This window comes from Homo sapiens, chromosome 11 (assembly GCF_000001405.40).
Source record: "Homo sapiens chromosome 11, GRCh38.p14 Primary Assembly".
Taxonomy (NCBI): domain Eukaryota; kingdom Metazoa; phylum Chordata; class Mammalia; order Primates; family Hominidae; genus Homo; species Homo sapiens.
The window spans coordinates 114,101,056-114,122,624 of record NC_000011.10 but is presented as its reverse complement, the minus strand read 5'-3'; the positions used below and the strand labels follow the sequence as shown (position 1 = coordinate 114,122,624).

Below are 21,569 nucleotides of genomic sequence, written 5' to 3'. Positions count from 1 at the left end.
TAAGTTTCTAACAGTTCATTCTTAGTTCCGCTCACTTGCCTTTCAAAGATGGGGCCATGCTCCTGTCCCTGGGCTCCATAAAACCTTCCTTTATTATGATATTAAATCCTCTTGTTTAACTTAGGCTGGCATAAATTGGTTATTTTACTTTCCACCAAAAAAAGCCCTATGTAATACACATTTACATAGACGTCGTGATCTTTAAGAGCCAAGCCAGTGTCTTCTCTCTGTTTATTAGCCACCTACCCCCACAGTAAATGTGCATATTCTGCAGAGACCAAATGACAAACATCCATTGAATTGAAACCAACAGGTACATCTGCCAAAGAACACGCCACAAACCAAACACAGCCCAACTCAAGCTCCAGATAAAAAGCAGTCTGAAGCAACACGTATTTCTTTCCTGAGCCATAGATCTATTACAGATTCTAAGGATGCCATGTTTTTCCTCCTATATGCCTCACATACAGGGCGTGCATTCAGGAAGTGAAGAATAAAAGGCCGTTTCCATTTTTGGTCCCACCCTCTCTGCCAACCATACCAGGCACACATCTGCTAGAATAAATGGTTGCTATAGAAATCACCATTTTTGGAACAGGCAAACTCAGTGTCTATGAAGAATGCAGCCATTTCAGTCCTCAGTAAAATCTGTGGACTTGGGACTCAGGAAGTGTCTTAGAGGACAGCCAGTACCTTGCAGCCAAACTTACCAAACACAGGGTCATGACATCTCACATCTCAGGAAATGCATCTTGACAGTCCAAAATGAAGTGTTGCCAACAGGAACAAAGGTTATGCTAGAAGACCCTGCATTGAGAGTAGACTCAGAATTTGGAAATGTCTGTGAAAAGCTACAAAACTGCGAGTATAATATACTGGGCAAGGATTTGGGATCTGGGATCAGACAGTCATGATTTCAAATTCCAGTTCTACCACTCAAAGGCTGTAGAACCCTGTGCAAATTACTGACCCACTCTGTGCCTCAGTTTCCTCACCTGCAAAATGGAGATAATACCAGTCCCTATGTCATGGGATTACTGTCATGACTAAATGAGATAATGGATGTAAGCATTCAACCAATGGCAGCAGTATGAGTGGGATCCTGAAATAGCCATGGTGCTAGCCACAATCAAGAACCAGGCATGAGAATAAGAAAGACGACACAGCCAGGGTTTTGTGTTTTGATTTGGTGAGAAAATGACCTCCCCACCTTACTGGCAGCCCCACCAAGGATTCAACTTCCACTCTAGAGCCTAGCAACTAGGACTCCTAGCGCTTCCACACTTGCGTTCAGAAGCCACGGTGCCCTGGAGCTGGCTTGCACCACTGTGTACACCTTTTCTCAACTCCGCCTTCAGTGACCACACCAGCAGCTTGGAATTAGCCATGGTGGGAGTATCTACACCACAGAAATCGCAAACACTACCAGTCTGGTGTTTCTCACCTGGATTAAACATTTCCTAGCACATCAACAGAAGAATATTCTCACCAGGAAAGTGGGATCTGAAAAACCCAGTTTGATACCTAAGGTTCTATACAATTCTATGGTGTCTCTAAACGTGGGTCAGGCAGGATTCACACGAACTGCAAGTGAGCATCCCTGATTGGCTCTCCAGTCTTTTTTCCAACCATTTAACTATGCAGACCGACTCCAGAGTAGGTGCTGCCCAAGGAGGCACCATCTTGAAGCGGCCAAGGCTGTATGGCTTCCCAGGAGAGGGAACACAGAGTCCAAAAGGCTGAAGAGGAGACAGGTCCAGCATCCACGCTGCCCTGCTCTCCTTCCCCTTTCTTCTACAGTTCCCATTGCTTCACCCCGACTCCAGGCCAGTCACCATCCCCACAACCTGCAGACTCTGACAAAGGCCCTCTGCTCCCTCGATGGGCCCTAATGTGACACTGCCACCCTTTAGACCCTGTATTCAGCTTAAGTAAATACAGCATCCGAAGACACGCAGAGAAAGTGTGCGGGAGGGTCTCAGACTCAGTGGTTGCCAGTGGTGAGTGTGGAGCAGGGACAGAGGGGAAGAAGAGTTGAAGAAAATGGGACAAATTAGAAGAGCAACTTTCATCTCACACGATAGTGATCTAAGGAGTCAGGATTTCCTTCTTTCCTCTTCAGGAAAGAGGATTCGGCTTTAAAGGATGAGATCCAGGGTGGACTGAAGGAAAGGGATGAAACAGTAGAAGAGGTGAAGGGAGTTCAAGATGAACAAAGCCAGGGGGAGCCAGGGGAAGTCTGGTGGAAGGGAAAACTCGCTAAGGCGGTCTTTAACCTCACTTGCTTCCAGGCTGCTGCCCTGCCCCATGTCCCCATTCATCCCATAACATCAGGATGTGTTGTGGGCTCTGCCTGGAGTGGTTCTGAGAGAACCTCAGAAACAAAGGCCTGAGGAGTTTGGGGTGGCTCCTGGGAAGGTATGGAAAGATACTCTCTGGCCTCAGCCAACCGCCTTCCAAGTGATCGAAGGTAGAGTCCCATCTCCTCTCCCTTACAGATTTCCCTCCTGAAAAAGCTCCAAGAGGCCACCTGGCTCATTCCACTGCCTCCAGACAAGACCCTCCAACTGTGTCCACCAGGACTCTGTCCTTCTTGTAATCATTAGAGAAGACTCTGCAATCTTTCTCCAAGAAATCCCTTCTCTAAGAAAGGCGCTCAGTCTAGAGTGAACAACTCCCAGCGGTGAGAGCTTTCCTCACTGAATGCTAGAAGGAGGCAGCGTGCCATGGAAGTGGGAAAAGCTGCAGTATTAGTCAAGATCCTCGCTCCACCGCTTGCTAGCTGTGTGACACCAGGTAAAGCGCTTAACCACTCTGAGCTTCCATTTATCATCTGTACTCTGATTTAACAATACCACAAAATTGTGAGGATTAACAAAACTCTGTCTTTTAAAGAACCTAACTCAGAGACTGACACGATACAGGTGCTCATGAGATGAGAGCTGCTACTCTGGTTGTTAAAATCCACATTGCTCCATCACTGCAGAGACCCAAACAGAAGTTTTCTATCCATCCTTGAGTGTCCCACCAACTCTAAACTTCTCTGATCCTACAACCCCCATACAAAAAACACAGCACCTGTCGTACTTTCTCTTTCCAGTTTCACCAGGACAGTGCTGGGCCTCATTGAGAATAGCAGTCGACACTGCATTAGAGAGCTCCTGGTGGGAAATCCAGCAGGCCAGTCCAGGTCAGCAAAGGGGAAAGCAGTGGTAGAGAGTGAACCTGTACACACATGTGCACACACACACAGACACAAACACACACACACACGCGCGCACACACACACACAAACTCGTATACAATACCCCCTAACAACGCCCCCTAAATTCTTTTTTTTTTTTTTTTTTTTTTTTTTTTGAGACAGAGTTTCACTCTCTCACCCGGGCTGGAGCGGAGTGGTGTGGTTTCGGCTCACTGCAACCTCTGCCTCTCAGGTTCAAGCGATTCTCCTGCCTCAGCCTCTCAGGTATCTGGGACTAAGGCACCCACCACCACATCCAGCTAATTTTTTGTATTTTTAGTAGAGACATGGTTTCACCATGTTGACCAGGCTGGTCTCAAACTCCTGACCTCAGGTGATCCGCCTGCCTCAGCCTCCCAAAGTGCTGGGATTACAGGTGTGAGCCACCGCACCTGGCCCCCTCTAAATTCTTTGTAACAAAAGTCAACCTGAAATGTCAACCTGAACTCCAAGTCACTGTCTGAGCCATCTGTGCATCCTCCATTCCTCACTGTTGTAATCTAGAGCTTGTTACTTTCAGACAGGGAAAACCATGAAAGCCAGAACACTCTGTCTCATCACAGAGACGCAACCCTCCTTTTATTAAAAACATTTGTCTCTTCATAACCCCTCACTCAACACAAATTATCTTTTACCTGTTCTCCTAGGGGTGAGAGTAGAAATGCAATATGAAGCAGAAAGCCCTGGTTCCAGTCACTTCATCTCCCCAGGCCTAAGTGTCCTCAGGAAAGATAACAAATTGTGTGATCCCCAAGTGCTAAGATTCCATAATAGATATTTGAGAATTACTCATGATGACTGATAGATAGGTAAATAAATTAAATAAATCCTTTCCAAGACTGCCCAACAAATAAATAGATAAACAGATAAATAAATAAACAAATCCTTCCCAAAACTCTAGCCTGGGCCAGGCACGGTGGCTCACACCTGTAATCCCAGAACTTTGGGAGGTGAGGCAAGCAGATCACTTGAGGCCAGGAGTTTGAGACCAGTCTGGCCAACATGGTAAAACCCTGTCTCTACTAAAAATACAAAAATTTGCTGGGTGTGGTGTCAGGTGCCTATAGTCCCAGCTACTTGGGAGGCTGAGGCAGGAGAATAACTTGAACCCAGGAGGTGGAGGTTGCGGTGAGCCAGGATCGCACCACTGCACTCCAGCCTGGGCAACAGAGCGAGCCTCTGTCTCAACAACAGCAACAAAAATCAAAAACACCTCTAATCTGTTTTCTCTAGACCCTGTGGATTTTAGAAAGTAATCAAATATGCAGTTAGATTCAAAACACTCATTTCAGACACACACACCTGGGGTCCTGTGATTAAGTCAGTTGTGCCTCTACACCCAAGGATTAAAATTTCACAGAGTCATGATTTCGTCAGTCAGTAACTACAAAGGATTAATTAGGAGCAAGGGAAGAGTTTATAGCTCACGAACCCAGACCTAAGGAAAATATCTATCTCTGCTCTCCAGATGTCAGCACACACATGAATGAAGGTCTTTGATGAAAACACTTTACATTATTCAAGGGACTCCAAAAATACTGTTTTCTGCCAGGAAATTAAGATACTTCTCATTCTTGTTCATGCTAAAATATCATCAGAACTCAATGAATGCAAATGAATTAGTATACTGACAACTTCTGCTTATCAAAATATCTTTCCTTCAAGACCCACTGCAAATATTGCAGACTACCTCTATATAGTTTTTCCAAGACCTCCTCAAACTCCATGTCCAAAAGAGAGACTTTGGTTTTCCACCCAGAACTCCTTCTCTATTCCCACCATCCACCAGTTATCCAAGCCAAAACCTCAGGAGTCTCAACCAACTCCTTCCTCAAACTTCACCCCCAATCAACATGACCTGTTCATTTCCCCCTACAATGTGCCCTTCCCTCTCCACCTCCTTTGCTACTTCCCTACCTCTGCTTGTTCTCTCTCACCTAGACCACTTGACGGGCTCCTAGGTGGTTCCTCTGACTCCCACATATCCATCCCCAATGCTGTGCTCGGGGTGCTCCAAGTCATAATTCCTATTATTTCACTCCCGGGATTAAAACCTTTCAACACCTTCTCCCAAATTACAGAATAAAAGGTCGGCTTCTCTCTCTGCTGCACAAGCAAGACTTCATGATAGGCTCACAACCATACCTCCAGCTACTATCTCTACCAACCTCTTTATACATCTCAAGCTCTGGTGAAACCAAATGGCCTGCAGCTCTCTCTCCCTCCTTCCCCCGGCCTTTGCGTGTGCTGTTACCTCTACCTGGAATGCCTTTCCCTCTGGTCTAACCAGTGATCTTCCTCTCATCTTTTAAGATCTTGCTTACAAGTCACCTTCTCAGCAAAGCCTTATCTATAGCCCCTCCCAAAACCTAGTCAATTGCTGCTTCACCTCCATTTCCTCTACACTTTGTTCTACATTTTATTACCACTTGTATTCTACTATAAAGTGCTGCTATGTCTCAGTGTCTGCCTCCCCTACCAGCTTATTAGATTCTTGGGGACGAGGGTCAAGTTTCTGGACTTCTGTATCTCCATTGTCTGGTATACAGTAGGACTCAATAAACACTCATTGAATAAATAAGTCAGATGTGATCATTCCCCGCTTGGAGCTTTCACTGCATTTACCAATTGTCTTAGGGAACATGTTTTATTCTATCTTTCATTACAGCCATGTGTGTACTAGTTCTAACCCCAAATTAAGAGCTAGGAACGCATTACGCCTCACCATTACTTCTCCAACAGAGCCAAACACATCTAGTAGGTATTCAGTAAATATTTGATGAGTTGAATAAAGTGAGTTCAAAGCTGCTCCCCAGTGGACAGGACCTAGCTTTAAAAAAAGAAGATGACGATGCAATGACGCAATGCTCAATCACCTACTTAGGAGGCCCTGAGAGGTTTTCAAATGCCCAAATATCCATCTTCTGAGCTGAGGGTTACAGAAGGTCAGATTCCAACCTAAGCATGAGGAGAAGTTCAGCAACGCCTAAATTTTAGAAAGTAATCAAATATGCAGTTAGATTCAAAACACTCATTTCAGACACACACACCTGGGGTCCAGTAATAAAGTCAGTTGTGCCTCTATACCCAAGGATTAAAATTTCATAAAGTCATGATTTCATCCGTCAGTAACTACAGGAAGACTGTACCATTTCAGGTCAGTGGCTCCCCAGCTATTAATGTCCCCATCACCCCTCACTTCGCCGAGGCTGTCCATTAAGCATACTTAAACACATGTACCCATATTCTTATTTCTTCTAGAGCTTTCTGCCCCCAATTTCAGCAAACCTTGAAGCTGGGAGTGAAAACCTTGAAGCTTGAAATGAAAATTTTCTTGCAAATAAAAGACAACCTAAACCTATCTATCTGCAGTAATTGCTTCCAGTGGTTTTGATTCCCTGCTTCATGGACAGGGTGGGGAGGGGGTATAGCCAGCTGCCCATGGCTCTGCACGAAAATGTGAAGCCCCGGGCACAGTCCCCTAAAGTTAGCACATGAACGCATGCTCGCTGGGAGCCAGTATGGAGATCCCTACTGCAGGGTAGGGGCAGCGCCTGCCTCTCTGTCCTTCTCCCCTCCCCTCCTCTGGGAAAGACAAATTAGCGGGCCGTCAGCGGAGGACAGCCACAGCAGTTGTGTTTCTGTAAAGGGGCAGTGGAAGTGTCTTTGATTAATGAAACCTTAATACGTGGCTGTTAGACAACCTCTCTTCAGCTGCTCTGAAAGAAGACAGATCCCTTCAGACAGGCTTCAGAAAGACGGGAAGGAAAGCTGGTGTACACCCAGTACCCCACTGGGAGACGTCCTCAGCAAGCAGCCAGAGAAGAGGCACAGCGCGGGAACTTCTGCTCTAGGGGTAGGAATGTGGTGGGACCCATCTCTCTCCTTGGAAGAATGTGGGACTCTCGCCTGCTCACTAAAACCAACACCTGCCGATGTGCTAAGAGTCCTCTTGAAGTCCCAACAATAGACATCAAAGCTGATGTTTGGAAGTTCAGATAACAAGGAAAGGGAGTTTAAAAAAAAAAAAAAAAAAAAAGGAGGAAGGAGGGAGGAAAACAACACCAACAAAAAGTCTGTCTCACCTTTGATCTCTGGAGAGGCAACAGACCAAACACTTTAAACTATGCTGGAGGACATACACCGTCCCTGCTCACCTATAAAAGCAAAGGTTCTTTTCTCTAGAAGGTCTTTCCCAAAGATGGTAGTAAAAGGCTCCAGTGTCTCAGGCGAGGGTAGAGAAATTAAAGAAGTATACAGGTTTGCAGCAATATTCCATCCTTACACAACCCTCTCCTACCTCCCTCTTAACAAAAGAAGAAAGGAAGAAAGAAAATAATGAGTGCCCTGAGATCTTTATTTCTGTGCCCCTGTAGCCCATCAGCATGGAACGACCTGGGCCAGGCACAGTGGCTCACACCTGTAATCCCAGCACTTTGGGAGGCCGAGGCGGGAGGATCACTTGAACTCAGGAGTTCGAGACCAGCCTGGGCAACATGGCGAAACCCTGTCTCTACAAAAAATATACAAAAATTAGCTGGGCATGGTAGTGCACACCTTGCAGTCCCAGCTACTCGGGAGGCTGACATAGGAGGATCGCTTGAGCCTGGCAGGCAGAGGTTGCAGTGAGCCAAGATTGTACCACTGCACTCTAGCCTGGGTGACAGAGCGAGACCCTGCCTCAAAAAAAAAAAAAAAGAAAAAACATATAGCATAGAATGATCTGTAGGACCTCTATGCAAATCAACTCAGAGCTAGAACATTCTAGAGAACATATTTACTTCCATCCTGATTTCCATCCCATATAATGAAAAGTATGTTCTGTTCCTGGAAAGAACTTTTTGATAAGAACTGAAACAAACTCTTTTTACAAACACTATGCCTTCAGTCATCTCCCTGTTCCCTCTATTGAGCTAAGCCTGGAACTCAGCAGCAAAGATAAAGATCAACCAAGTAGGAGAATAACAAGAAACTGTTTAAATATTTCAGATGCTCAAAAGGTCTAACAAATGATAGCAAACTGCTCATATACACTGAAGCCCGGTGGTCCCTCCCCAGTCAGGTTTCCCTCCCATCCCCGTCATCCCAAAGTAACATCGCTTGTAAATTTCCTACCTTTGGACTTCATCCATTATTCTGTCTTTCAACAGACATTCACTGCTCCCCAACATTGTGGCCGACATGGACGAAGTCTCAGGGACATGTTCTCCAGAAATCATTGTCAACTAGAATATCAAGTTATTCTGGACCCCAGTATCTCTACTTATTTCCCGAAAATAAATCATGGAGATAGAAACAGCACTATTTCTACTGAATCACCTGAAGGTTCTAAGACAGCCATGGGATGAGTTTTTATCCCTACCACCCATTACTGCCACTAAGAAATCAGCTTTCTAATAGAAAAGAAGTGGGAGTTTCGCCTTACCATGGATTTAAACTTGGCTAATTTAGCTAATATTGATTGTGCAACTTTGTGTTGACTAATTGAATAAATGAATATAAAAATAAAAGAATGAATTCCAGGTTTCAGTTCAGGACTAACTGGATGATTAGATGACTAACTTATATCTGCCCCAATAACCTCCATAGAATTGATTTTGAAAAAGCCTCCACTAGCTTCATTTAGGAAGAGGAATAGACAGCAGTAGTCAAAGTAGAATAAGGGATTTCAAAGAAAGGTCATTTACAGAATGTCTCTATTTTTTAAGCCCTCTTCCTGAACAAATTTTCTAAATCCCAAACTGGAGAACAGCTTCAGAAGGGCAAAGATCTTTACTTACTCCTACTTGCCCTACAGTGCCTCACTCAAAGCAAAACACTTGTCAGGTACTCAATAAATATCTGTTGAATAAGCTGCCATGAACTCACCTTTGGGAATAGGTCATGATTACAGGGTTTTTAGATTGAGAATACTCTGAAATCAACGCTACCAGCTCTGGAATTCCTTCTTCCTTGGTTCTCTCCCCTTCATTCTTCCCAAAATTCCAACCAGTGTCCTCAACCTAATTTATGCCAAATACCCGAAGTGTTGGACTTCAAGACCCCAAATATCTCTTTTGAAGAATGTCCCAGAAGAACGTATAGGAGGAAAGAATGGATAAGAATTGACCTGTCTGGTAAATCACTTATGTACTTATAAATGGTTGTTATACACCGCTAAAGACAGTATAGAATTCAAAGACGAGTGAGACAGAAGACAGCATCTCTGCTATCACATGACACTCTAAGAAAGATTAGACATGCAGAGATGTATCTTCCATAAGCCAGAAAGCAGCAGGTACCTTGAGAATAAAAATGAAGTGTGTGGGCTGGGTGCAGCGGCTCATGCATGTAATCCCGGCATTTTAGAAGGCCTAAGCGGGAGAATGGCTTGAGCGCCCAGGTGGTCATGATCAGCCTGGGCAATGCAGTGAGATCCCATCTCTAAGAAAAAATTTTAAAAAATTTAAAAACCTAGGTATGGTAGTGCATTCCCTGTAGTCACAGCTACTTGGGAAACTGAGGAGGGAGGATCACTTGTGCCTGGAAGGTCGAGGCTACAGTGAGCTATATAATCAGGCCACTGCACTCCAGCCTGGGTGATAGTGCGAGACCCTGTCTTAAAAAAAAAAAAAAAAAAAGAAAATGAACTGTGTGAAAATAGAAATGGCTTTATGGAGCCTACATTTCAACTAGGTCTTAAAGACTGGGTAGAGCTATGAGAGAGAACAGTAGGACTGCCTTCTGGACAGGTAACTCTTAGGAAAGGTCTCCTCAAGTAGAGAAATCTTTATGGTTCAAGTACATGCCAAAAGGACAATATTTCCCTTAGACAGAAGGGGTGTTTTGACGACAGCCAACTTTTTTACAGGAAGAAAAATCAATCTTTTAACATCATTCATTCTCACCAGTCTTTCTCCTCTTCCTCATCCCTCCCTTCCTCATCTTCGTGCCCTCTCTATCCCTCCCTTGCTCTCCCTCTACCTTCTCCATCTCTCATTATCCAAATACTTTTCCAAAATTTAGATTATAAAATATGACCATCAGATGCTTTATAAAATCTACGCTACAGACATCATTGTGACATTTTTTAGTTAAATAAATAATAGAAATGTTCTGTGATGAAAGGAACCATAATCAAAACTGTAGGACAAATGATAGACTGGGAAGAATCTTTGCCATGCATTTGACAGATAAAAGATTCATTTTTCTGATTTATATCGAAAGAGAACCAACAAATGTGCAAGGAAAAGGCAAAAATCCGAAAGAAAATCATGCAAAAAGTTTTAAATTTTTGATGTAGTCAAATTTACACATCTTTTCCTCTATAACCTTTGGGTTTTATTTACAACCTTTTACATATCTATTATATTATTTACAATATACATCCCCCACAAAAAAATTGACAAATGGACACCAGAGAGAAATTCTTTCTTTATTGAAGTGCGTCTGGAAGCCTCAAAAAAAAAATGTTTAAAACAGACTTGGGGTAAAAGGGGAAGAGGAAGAATGTGTCTCAACAGTAGCCAACAAAAACATTCAAGATAAATAAATTCAGCATTCTGGCATCTGTGGACCCAGAAAAACTAGGTTGCAGATTAACTTAATTAGGAAAACCACCCACAACAAACCAATAGCACCAGGAGAGGGAGACGGAAAGAAGAGACTGAAAGAATGAAGCTTTGTCAAAACAGAGGTGTCAGAATCACAAGTAAAATAACTCCCAAAGGAACTCTCAGCCCTTCATAGGACATGGTGGTCTCTGCATCTCATTCATAATGTTTGCCTTGGCTGAGGTTCTAAACCACAAAAACATCTGTACAGAAGGAAGCAACCAATTTCAGTGAAATCATACTGGAAACCTTTAACATTATTTAGCGTCATTTCATGAGAGGACAATGCAGTTAATGTTCCCCACTGGAAGGACCGTCTTGTGGTTCGCAGCGCTAGGCAGTTTCTCTCTTTCTCTCTATTGGTTTAAATGTGAAAGAGAAAGAAAAGGGGGATTTCAGAAATGGAGGGAAGAAAGAAATAAACCATCTAAGGAGCACAGCCAATTATATAGGTTGGCTTTAATTTTCAAACTAGTGCTTAAATACCAATGGTATTATTGCCTTTAGCTCTCTGGAAACTACAGTGTAATTAGGTTCACTCAACTTAACTTAAAACATGCCCAGTCATTAAAATTTTTCTTGATCCAGCCAAGTTATCTCGCGCGTGCACACACACACACACACACACACACGCAGCACAGATCTCTAAGCCAAAAGTACATCACGTCCCCAAGAAACGGCAAAAACATGTCACTGCTTTTTGGAAATCATGCTCATGTTTTGTGACCTTCCTTAAAGATAATGTTCTCACGATTAATTAATTTATGAATAGTTTTCCCCCCAACATGCACAACAGGTTCCATGCAAATTCTTGAGCTTTTAAATTATACTGTTAATGAAAGCAAATAAAGGCAGTTAAAAGGCAATTTGCTCAATTGGTGTTAATATTTAAGCACAGCATGTGTAAAAACAAGATCACAGAATTCAGTTTTTACAAAGAAAACTTTAACCCAACTTCATTTCCAAAAGATTAAACATGTTGCCAAGAATATTTTCTCCCTCTACCCTTCAGCATCAGGTAATGAAGCTTTTTATTACGTAAATATTTCACATTAACCTCATCAGTTTCTATCACTTATAAATTCCAATCTATAAAATCAAATCAGCTTAATCATGTTTAGATTAGATCCTGCATCCTGAAGGCAAACTAAATTATTTACATCCTCACTCTCCTTGGCACATTCAAGCACCAAGACTTGAAGACATCAGAATAGAAAGGTTTCCTCTGCCTTCCTATTCCCGAGGTCTCACTGGCCCTCCTTCTTTAAATCTGCATCAGTGAAACCAACATAGCAGCCTTGGCATCGGCAAATTCTTCTAAACCAACCTCACGCAAAAGCCCTAAAAGTTTACTGGCTGGGCAAAGGCTTGGCCGTGGCTTTCCCTGGAGTATTTCTAGATTCCCCTACGAAAAAGAAAACTTCCCAGGTCAGATTAGTAACAGTAACTTCCCTGGTGACCCCAGATTGCTGCCTTGGGGGACTGTGCACAGGTTGCCACAGAAGACTGCTCTGTGACTGATCTTTGACCGTAGGGTCTGGCTGAAATGCTCCACATCTCCAAGAAAGTCTGAGCCCTTCATAGGGCTAGGAAAAGGGGGTGGGGGCACAGTGGAAAGGGTTCGCTTCTCCATGACATGAGGGGCTCCACCAAGAGCCCTAAATACCGCCCCCCAGCACACACATTTGCACCTAAGTCCCCCACATTCTTCACGCCCCTTCTCTGAGAGTCTAGTCCCCTCAAAATAGAATTTCAAAATGTTACAACGTTAAATAGATGTTGAAGGCCCTCAAAGGAGTTGAATTGTGGGCTCCTTCCAGAAGTCCTCCTGTGGCCCCCGTCTGCTCTATCCTCCGGTCCTGCTCTTCTAACATACTTCAGTTTCCCTTGCTGCTCTGCCCAGCTGTTCAGCCAAACCATGATTTCCTTCCTTTCCCTCAACATACCACACTGTCTGAGAGAACCAAGTTCCCTAAGAGAATCATTCCAGTTTGCACTGCACCAACTCCATGAAGCCAGTTTTCTGTCAGGACTGCTGGAAGGATGGCCCCCAGACAGCTCTCTCTGAGTTCAATCCCTAAATCTCTCCCCTCCCCCAACTCTTCCTTTCCTATCTCCCCCACCCCCAAGTTGCTCATCCCTCAAACCATTTCTATTTGATTAAGAGGATGGCCTCTGCAAGGATGTTTACATTAGGCTCACTTCCAGGCCATAACCCATCCTGCGGGAACACATTCCTGATCGGGGCAATGGAAGGAACTATGCAAAACATCTCGGCCTCATTGTGTACCCCAACTCCAGCCTTGGAGAACTCCACCAACCTCCAGGTCTCTCCAACAGTAAGGAGCAACAGGGCATGGCGGACAGAGCCTGGCTGCAAGAATCTGAGATGTGAGGAAAAGGCGCAGACATTTGTAGTCAAGCCAAAGACCTGACTAAGCCAAAGAAGATGTCACACCTCAAGGCACAATGACCCAACCTCACTCACCACAGACCAGCTATTATTTCTGGGGAACCAGCATTTTCTATAAGAGCAATAAAGTCAGATAATGCTAGGACAAAATTCCTGAGACAACTGCCACATTCAGATGGAGAGCTACTGAAAGGCCAAAGTGAAGTCCACTAGAAGAACAGACATCTGGAGGATGGGGCATGCCCCATGCTCCTCTCCTTCTTCCACCTGACTGACCCCAAAGCCTCCGCTCCTGCAGTGCCAGGTCTCAGCTCCATTAGGCCTGTTATGGATTAGGACACAGATCAGCCCCGTCCCCACTCCAAAAGTGGGACAGCCCCACTAGGGAAGCACACGCAGGAGGTAGGCAGAGCGGCAACTTAGTGAAGCTAGGACTGGCTGGGTACCCTTACCTGCCCATCAACACTGAGGCCAGCCTGTCCCAATAGCCACAAAGAAATCCAAGAAGGCATTAAGAGCTCAGGCCAAGCAATCGGGAAAACCTGCATTTGATTTCCAGCTACCGACCTTAAAAGCATGAGCTGAACATCTAACCTCTTTGAACTTCTCTGTAAAGCTGAAGTTTCTCATCGGTAATGCCAGGATGCCAGAGGCCTGTTGCAGGGACTGAATGGGGCTGTGTGTACCATCGCTGCATTCAGAGGCGGGCAGACGGTAGGTGTTCAACCCAGGCAGCCACCCCCATCTAGCCTCATCAGCCCAGACTGGAAATTTCTTAATAGCTGCAGGTCTTTTAGAGAGTTGAGCAGGGAAGGGGAATGTGGAGGGGGAAGAAGGGAGATGAGCTCAAAGTTTTCACCAGTGTTAACAGAACTCCTTCCAGAACAAGAAGACAGAGAGCAATTACTAAGAAGACCTGCAAATAAGCCCGTGGCCATCAATTTCACTCTAAAAATTAGATACTGTGACTACTGCTGCAGTAATAGAAGCTGGCTCACAGATTCGCACTGAGCCTTTTAGAAAGGAAAAAGACCTGAAAAGGGATTCTCTAGATGCTGGAGATGATAGGTGTTCTAGCTCCTGAGCTGAAAGACTCGGGAGCAGCTTTCTAACGGCTGGAAACATTCTGCACACTCAGCTGCTCTGTGCACCCTCTTTTGTCCGGGCCTGGGGTCTCAGAGCTAATGCAGGCACCAAAAGACCATCTGGGGCTGCCGTCTTACACACAGAAGTTTAAATAGCTCAATGAATGAACCCAGGAATTAATGAATGATAAAGCCGTATGGTCTCCTCATCCTTTCCTCTCACAAGCAGCATTCAAACCCTCCCAGCATCTTTTACAATGCTTCCTGAGTACAAACTAATAATAATAATGATAATAATCATCATAATAAAGGTGGGAGGAGAGGAGGTGAAAATGGGATCCCACTATAAGGAACACAGGCTTTAAAAAAAAAAAAGTCCCAAATTTCCACTGTATTTTCTGTTCACTCCAAATTAATTTGAAAATCTCTCTCCTCAAATAAAACAGAAAACAAAAAATGTAGACTGCACATCATCTCCAATCCAAGCTCCACTCTTCTCAGCCCAGCTTTGTTTCTCTTTGAAAATTATTCATCACCAAGGTCATTTTTACCAACATATTATAGAATCAGACACATATTATGCATCTCCTCCCAAGATGCATATATCTCCACATCACACATTGAGAAAAAGTCAATGTTGCGCACCCACCCTGGGAAAAGAAAATAATCTTTTAGTCGCTTCTCACAGCTACACAATAGTTCTTCTAGGGTGGAAATTTTAGCACAGTAATCACTTTGGTAGGCTCAGAAATCATGCTCTTTGGAGGAGAGACACCAAGGGAGAAAAGATCCCTTTGAAAAGTGACCTGCACAGAGAACCCCTTGGCAGAGTTGTTGGATTTGTTCACTCTAGACAACCAAGCATTTCATCACTGGGGAGGACGGAACACAAGAACACAGTCTTAATCTGAGACTTGAGGGAGTGAAGTTAGATCTAAATGCGAAGTGTTTTATAATGCACATTACAAGGTCTAAAAAGTTCTTTTCTGGATATCATCAGAAACAAAACACAAGCAGGCTTCAAGGCAGGTGAGGCTTATACCTCCCATGCACCTAGGAAGTGGATCTCATTCTGGCTATGACCCTTGTTGACAGCGTGACCTTGCGCAAGTCACTGATCCCTCTGTGATTCCATTCCCTTATCTCACCTAGAAAATCAGAGCGATCACCAGGGCCCTGGCGCCTCGTGGCTGGGATCACTCTAGCAGGTTCCAGAGCTGTCTTTCTCAGGGGCATCTATATGTATGTGCATTTATCTCCATCTGCATCCTGCCCCTTCCCAAGTCTAACTGTTGAAAATAAAACTCGTCGAAACTACTGTGCTTTCAAAAATAAAAAGCCCATCTAGCAGGGACTGGGCTATGAGAGCTGGTATAAAGGGAAAATTCTGGAATCAGGGGAACTTCCATTACAAAATAAGAAAGACCAATGCCATAGGGAAGTCACAACATTTTGGAAGCAGGATAAAAAGGAATGAAAAAGAGCTAGATTTCTTTTCCATCAGAAAAGAGAAGATGGGACAGGCACAGTGGCTCATGCCTGTAACCCCGGCACTTTGGGCGGCTGAGGTGGGAGGATCACTTGAGGTCAGGAGTTTAAGATCAGCCTGGCCAACATGGTGAATCCCCAACTCTACTAAAAAAATTTTAAAAATTAGCCAGGCATGGTGGTGCAGGCCTATAGTCCCAGCTACTTGGGAGGCTGAGGCAGGAGAATCGCTTGAACCCAGGAGGTGGAGACTGCAGTGAGCTGAGATCGTGCCACTGCATTCAAGCCTGGGTGCCAGAGCAAGACTCTGTCTCAAAAAAAAAAAAAAAAGAAGATCGTGAAATCATAGACCAATGTATACAAGTTTCTTCTAATGAAATTATTCAAAAGAAACCAGAGCTAAATGTTGGGGTTTTATTTTCTTTTTAATTTTCCCATGTAATCCATCATAATGATGCTTCTTAAAAGGCAGCAATGGGAGTAGGAGCCACAGTGACCCCCAAAAGAGGGTAAATATAGGCATGAAACCGGCCAAGGGGGAAGGGATGAGTAGTCTCTTTCTTACAGAAGCTACGGAACACTTCAGAAAGGCCTGCGGCTGTCGTGCTGCTGTACTTGGTTGGTGGGAAGGAGAGGCAGAGAGGCACCATCCAGAACAGCGTTTTCCTCCTAACAACCCTCCGCTATGAAAGGTTAATACAGTCTGGAGGGGTGGGGGTGAACGCGGGGAGAGGAAGGGGATAGAAAAGCATTATGCAATATTAGAATGCTACTTTTATTTTAAAAGCCGTCATGTGTAAAGCATTAGTGTTTTTGAAATTGCATTCTTGAGTTAATTAAATGGACAATCTTTTATACATAAAAGTGAAAGAAAGCAATTAAAAGCTAAATGAAGAAAAACCACTTTCCCCTGGTGATCTGGGCTACCCCAATCCCTCTGTATTAACATGAAGCAAAGACAAGGATCTCCCCAGAACTACTGTCCAAATGTCTCTTTTATGGTACCCTCGGTGACAATTTGTAAGTATTTGTCTTCCTTCTAAGTTTACCTATGAGACTGTTAGGATAAGAGGAGGAGAAGAGAACAGCAGAGTGATGGAGGAACAGGGGAAAAAGTTCATTTAAGCAGTTTACAAACAAACGAGGGAACTCAGGGAGGGGACAGATCGCTGTCTCAAATGAAACTAAAATCAATACCTCAACTCTTTTTTTGTTACCTCCACCAAAAAGCAGCCCCACTCAGCATGTCACTCAAGAGAATTGGGTCGGGCGCGGTGGCTCATTCCTGCAGTCCCAGCATTTTGGGATGCCAAGGCTGGTGGATCACCTGAGATCAGGAGTTTGAGACCAGCCTGGCCAACACGGCGAAACCCCGTCTCTATTAAAAATACAAAAATTAGCTGGGCGTAGTGGCAATGCCTGTAGTCCCAGCTACTTGGGAGGCTGAGGCAGGAGAATTGCTTGGACCCAGGAGGTGGAAGTTGCAGTGAGCCGAGATCGTGCCAGCGCATTCCAGCCTGGGTGACAGAGCGAGACTCCACGTCTCAAAAAAAAAAAAGAGAGAGAGAGAGAGACAGAATTAATTCAGCGTTTTGGGCTGTCGAGCCAGGCTCCACTCACAGGCTTTTTCAAAAAATCAGAGAAGTATATTCGGATTACAGCAAGAAAAACTAGGTTAGTTAACAGGAGGAACTTCCTCAATGTACCACTATGTCTACCTAACAAGTGCCAAATTACCAACTGGTCTATTGTTTTGCAAATGTGCCTTCCACAGGTGAGTGGGTGGCGAGGGGTTAAGTAGCTGGCCTGCTCTGCAAAATGGGTCAGGAAAAGGCAAGTACCACGGCCTGTGTGGTAACAACAGCAATGACACACTCCCCTTCTGATGCCCCAGTGGACTCAATCTTTACTCAAAATGGTTGCAATGACTCTGGTGCCCCTACAAGAACATCTAGATGACAAGAGACACCACCGTTCTCTTTGGTACCAGAAAGAAGAAAAGCAAGAATTGGTCTATGTCCATTTAACAGATGGTTTTCCAGTGGAACATGGAAAACATGATGCAGAAGCTACAATGATGTTTCCTATTTCGCAGGCTGAGTCCTGTGGTGAGTTGTTCCCAGGGCCCAGGCCTCTGGGTTCCCAGGCCACAGGATCTCCTATCTCTCAGCTTCCTGCAGGTCCATCCCTTCACTGAATCTGATAGTCATCCAAGAGAGATTCTGGAAAACGCACAGCAAACCACAGCAAAACAACACCAATCCACTCTTCCCTAGAGGCCCCAGTGCTGACTGCTGGCTGCTTGGGGGTACTTCCCTTTCCCTTCCTGCCATGAAAGAAGGAGGTAGGTGAAAGAAAAGGCAAAGCAGAGATAGCCTGATCCAGGAAGAGTAAGAAATGTTTACATCTTGGGTGCTGGGAGTGAAGACTGATGTATTTCCCCAGCTAACTCCGTCTTTCCCCAATAGCAGGCAATGTCTACAGGCTCGCACATGCTTGGTATTTACTTGCAGTTATGGTAAACCACTCCCTATGCTACTTTTATCCTTTCTGCCTTCAAAGTAGCAATGACCATAAGACTGAAGAGAAGAACATGGTTAGGTCCCAGTTTTCTACACACGTTCACCCTGGGATAAAACAGAAAATCTAAAACTCTGCATAATCCAAATGCACCATTGTAGAAAAGATCCTTGTGTTGTCAGACAGGTGCCTAATTTGGTTTCTACTCCCTTCCCTATTCACCTTTGGTAAATGAGCTCAAACTGGGCACCCTGGCCAAAATGCTGGTCTGCGAGGAAGGAGGGAGGATGAGAAGAGAGAAGAAACTGATGTGGATAACCCACACATTCATTCAGCCCACACGTGAAAAAGAATAGTTTGTTAGATTTCTCTTTGATTCCCCAGGCTCCAAACCCACACGCTAGGGTCAGGGAGGGTTGTTCAGTGCACCACTGATGCCACCACAAGCCCCCACACCTCTGTTTGAAATAGAAGGCCCAACATTGTTTGCTCCAGCCAAGCCTCCCTCTGCTCTGTGGCTGAGTTCATGAAAGGAATCCAGGATGGGTTAAACGTTACCTCTATCTCCACCCCGCATCTTCTAAAGCATCTGATAAGCGCTAGAGAAAACATCCTGTGTGCAGAGGTTTAGATGCTGACACAGGGTGGGGGAGCACCAACGACCCAGGGGCCACGAGGAGTTAATCCCCCGAGAGATAGGGGCCTACTCTTTGGAAAGTTCAGAGAAAGCAAAGAGAAAAAAGATTCCACCGGCTGTTACATGTGGTTACCAAAACACAAAACACAAATGTAGGTAGAGACTCTGTAGCCCAAAATTAAGAAAACAACGACCAAAACTTCTTTAGTCCAAGCGGACGGTACTCACAAAAAAAGGAAAAGAAAAAGTTTTTAAGCAGGGTGTTCAGCCAACTGCTAATTCTGGGGCAGTCCCTTCCCTCTGCACATGACCCATGACAGAGTTAAACTGTGCTTTGGTCTCAGGCTGGGGGGTGGTGGGGGTCCACCTTCTGAATTCCAGGTCACCATCTATCTTAATTCCCTCCCTGCACACTCCACACCTGTCTCTCACTTATAACATAGGCCTGGCCTAAAGGCAGGAGAATGCTTTCAATGGCCTCAAGGCTCCCTCAGCCCTTACAGTCGAACCTCAATAATCACAGTGTTGTGGTTCAAAGCAGAAACAATTATCAATGCAATGAAGTGCCATTGACAGACCTCCAGTTTCAGCATCACTGATACAGTAATGTTTGCCTTCAAATAAGGTTCTTTTAATGTTCCCAGCAGCCGAGAGGAACAAGACATAATGGTTTGGAAGGGTACCCACATTTGACTAGATGGGTTAATATGGGCACACACAAAGAAAGAGCTTTAGCTGGCTCTATTGTCCCTTCCCAATGTGTGGGTGGCATTGGGGGCTACTATGAATGTTGGCGAGCATCAAAAACTTCAAGCCCAAGAAGAAAGCCACACAAAAAGCTCTAGGATTGGCCTTTTTTCTGGAATAGCTCTAGGCTCTCCTGCCTATAAAATTCTCCAGGCACCCAATAAATAATTAAATGACTGTTCAGCTCTTATTAAACCACACCTCAGGATTACAGGACCAACGCCTGGGCTATCAGCAAAAAGCACCCCTCTTACTACATATGCTAAAATCATCCCAGAAACACAGGCCCATGCATTTCCCAATAGATTCACTTCCCAGAAAATGCGGAAGGGCAGGGGCAGCCGGGGGGTGGGGGGGACTTACCTGGAAGAAAAAAGAACTTGAACAACTGATTCTACCTCCTCCCTCTAACCACTGTTACCACTGCTGTGATGAAGGAGAAGAGTGATGATGAATGACAAACCTTTCTCCTGAAAACCCCAGAGTAAAAAAAACTCACCAAGGATCCAGAAGACGGTCTATGCATAAAAACACAAGAGCATGTTAGGAATAGCAGTTCAGCAGCCTCAACCCCCAGTGAGATTTAAACCCAAACTTGGCTGCCAACAACCCACCAGCACCTTACAGCCACGATAAGAAAGCCTTCCTAAAGCATTTGGTTAAGGATTTTTTTTTTCTCCTAAAGGTAAATAGCTACTGAGAACAAGTCTGCAGGGCAAAGCAGCTGAGACCCATGTTTCAGAGGTCTGGGAATTAGTATGTCCCAGAGGTCTGGGAATGAGGACGTCCCAACCACCATCGATGTGTTCACTGCCATCCCTGGCATGCTCAGACAAGACCCACACCAACAGAAAGAGGTCCTCATTGCAGGAGCCAAAAGGCAAGGGAAAACATGACCATCCCAGAGACATCTATTCCCTAGAGCCACATCCAATTTCATAAAGAAATTAAAAGCCACTGATAAAACCTTACCTGCCCCTCCCCATCTGGGATACCATCAGTTTCTTTATCACCACTGTAACACATACAAAAATGAGCAACAAATATATGAATGTATCTCCCTATAGGCAATGACATGAAAAATGCAAGGAAATAAAATCAGGTCTTCAGCTCTCAAAAAGAAAATGGAGGATAAGGCAACTAGCATTTACTGGGCACTCCAATAATAGCCAGGAGATCTATGTGTATTTTTTCATTTGATCTTTGCAAGAACCTTACAAGTTAGGCAATATCGTCCCCAATTCACAGGAGAGAAAACTGAATCTCAAAATGTTTATGGGGCTAAGGACACAAAATTTTAAAAGTGGCCAAGCTGTCCATCTAGGCCAGTCTTGACTCCAAAATTACAGATCTTTCTACCAAATCACACCATGTTCCTCTCTTCAGTCACTCAGTTTATATCAAACCCTTCACAAAAAACCTGGTTAAATACACGAAGCAATCAGTCTTGGAAAAACATACTTCTATGGCCCCAAAGGACCTCAACGCTAGAAAATGCAGGGAAGGCTGGATCATAAATGAGTGGGTATTCTAAATTACTTTATAGGTAATGATCCATAAAACAAACAAACAAACAAACAAAAACACCAAACAAGGCCTCGCGCTGTGGCTCACACCTGTAATCCCAGCACTTTAAGAGGACAAGGAGGGAAGATTGTTTGAGCCCAGGAGTTCAAGATCAGCCTAGGCAATGCAGTGAAACCTCATCTCTACAAAAAACTTAAAAATTAGCAGGCTGTGGTGGCATACACCTGTAATCCCAGCTACTTGGGAGGCTAATGTGGGAGAATTGCTTGAGCCAGGGAGAGCAAGCAAGGTTGCAGTGAGCCGAGATTATGCCACT

The 21,569-nt window shown here is 44.5% G+C and overlaps 1 protein-coding gene across 7 annotated transcripts in view, besides 1 other annotated feature; it reads right to left on the bottom strand.

The window, feature by feature from the left end:
• Nucleotides 1-21,569, bottom strand: part of ZBTB16 (zinc finger and BTB domain containing 16) — a 197,060-nt gene that overhangs the window by 134,146 nt on the left and 41,345 nt on the right. The window contains exon 3 of one of the 7 annotated variants that reach the window (XM_047427563.1): nt 729-807. The exons of the other annotated variants lie outside the window; for them this stretch is intronic. Within the exon in view, the coding sequence (XP_047283519.1) occupies nt 798-807 (10 nt within the window). The 3' untranslated portion in view covers nt 729-797. Of the gene's footprint in view, nt 1-728; nt 808-21,569 lie in introns of those variants that run through there. 7 annotated transcript variants of the gene reach the window in all.
• Nucleotides 11,192-11,392: a silencer, noted in NCBI's record as "peak1475 fragment used in MPRA reporter construct". NCBI's record gives its function as "represses an SCP1 promoter by STARR-seq MPRAs in K562 erythroleukemia cells {active_cell/tissue: K562}" and the evidence as "EXISTENCE:reporter gene assay evidence [ECO:0000049][PMID:32103011]".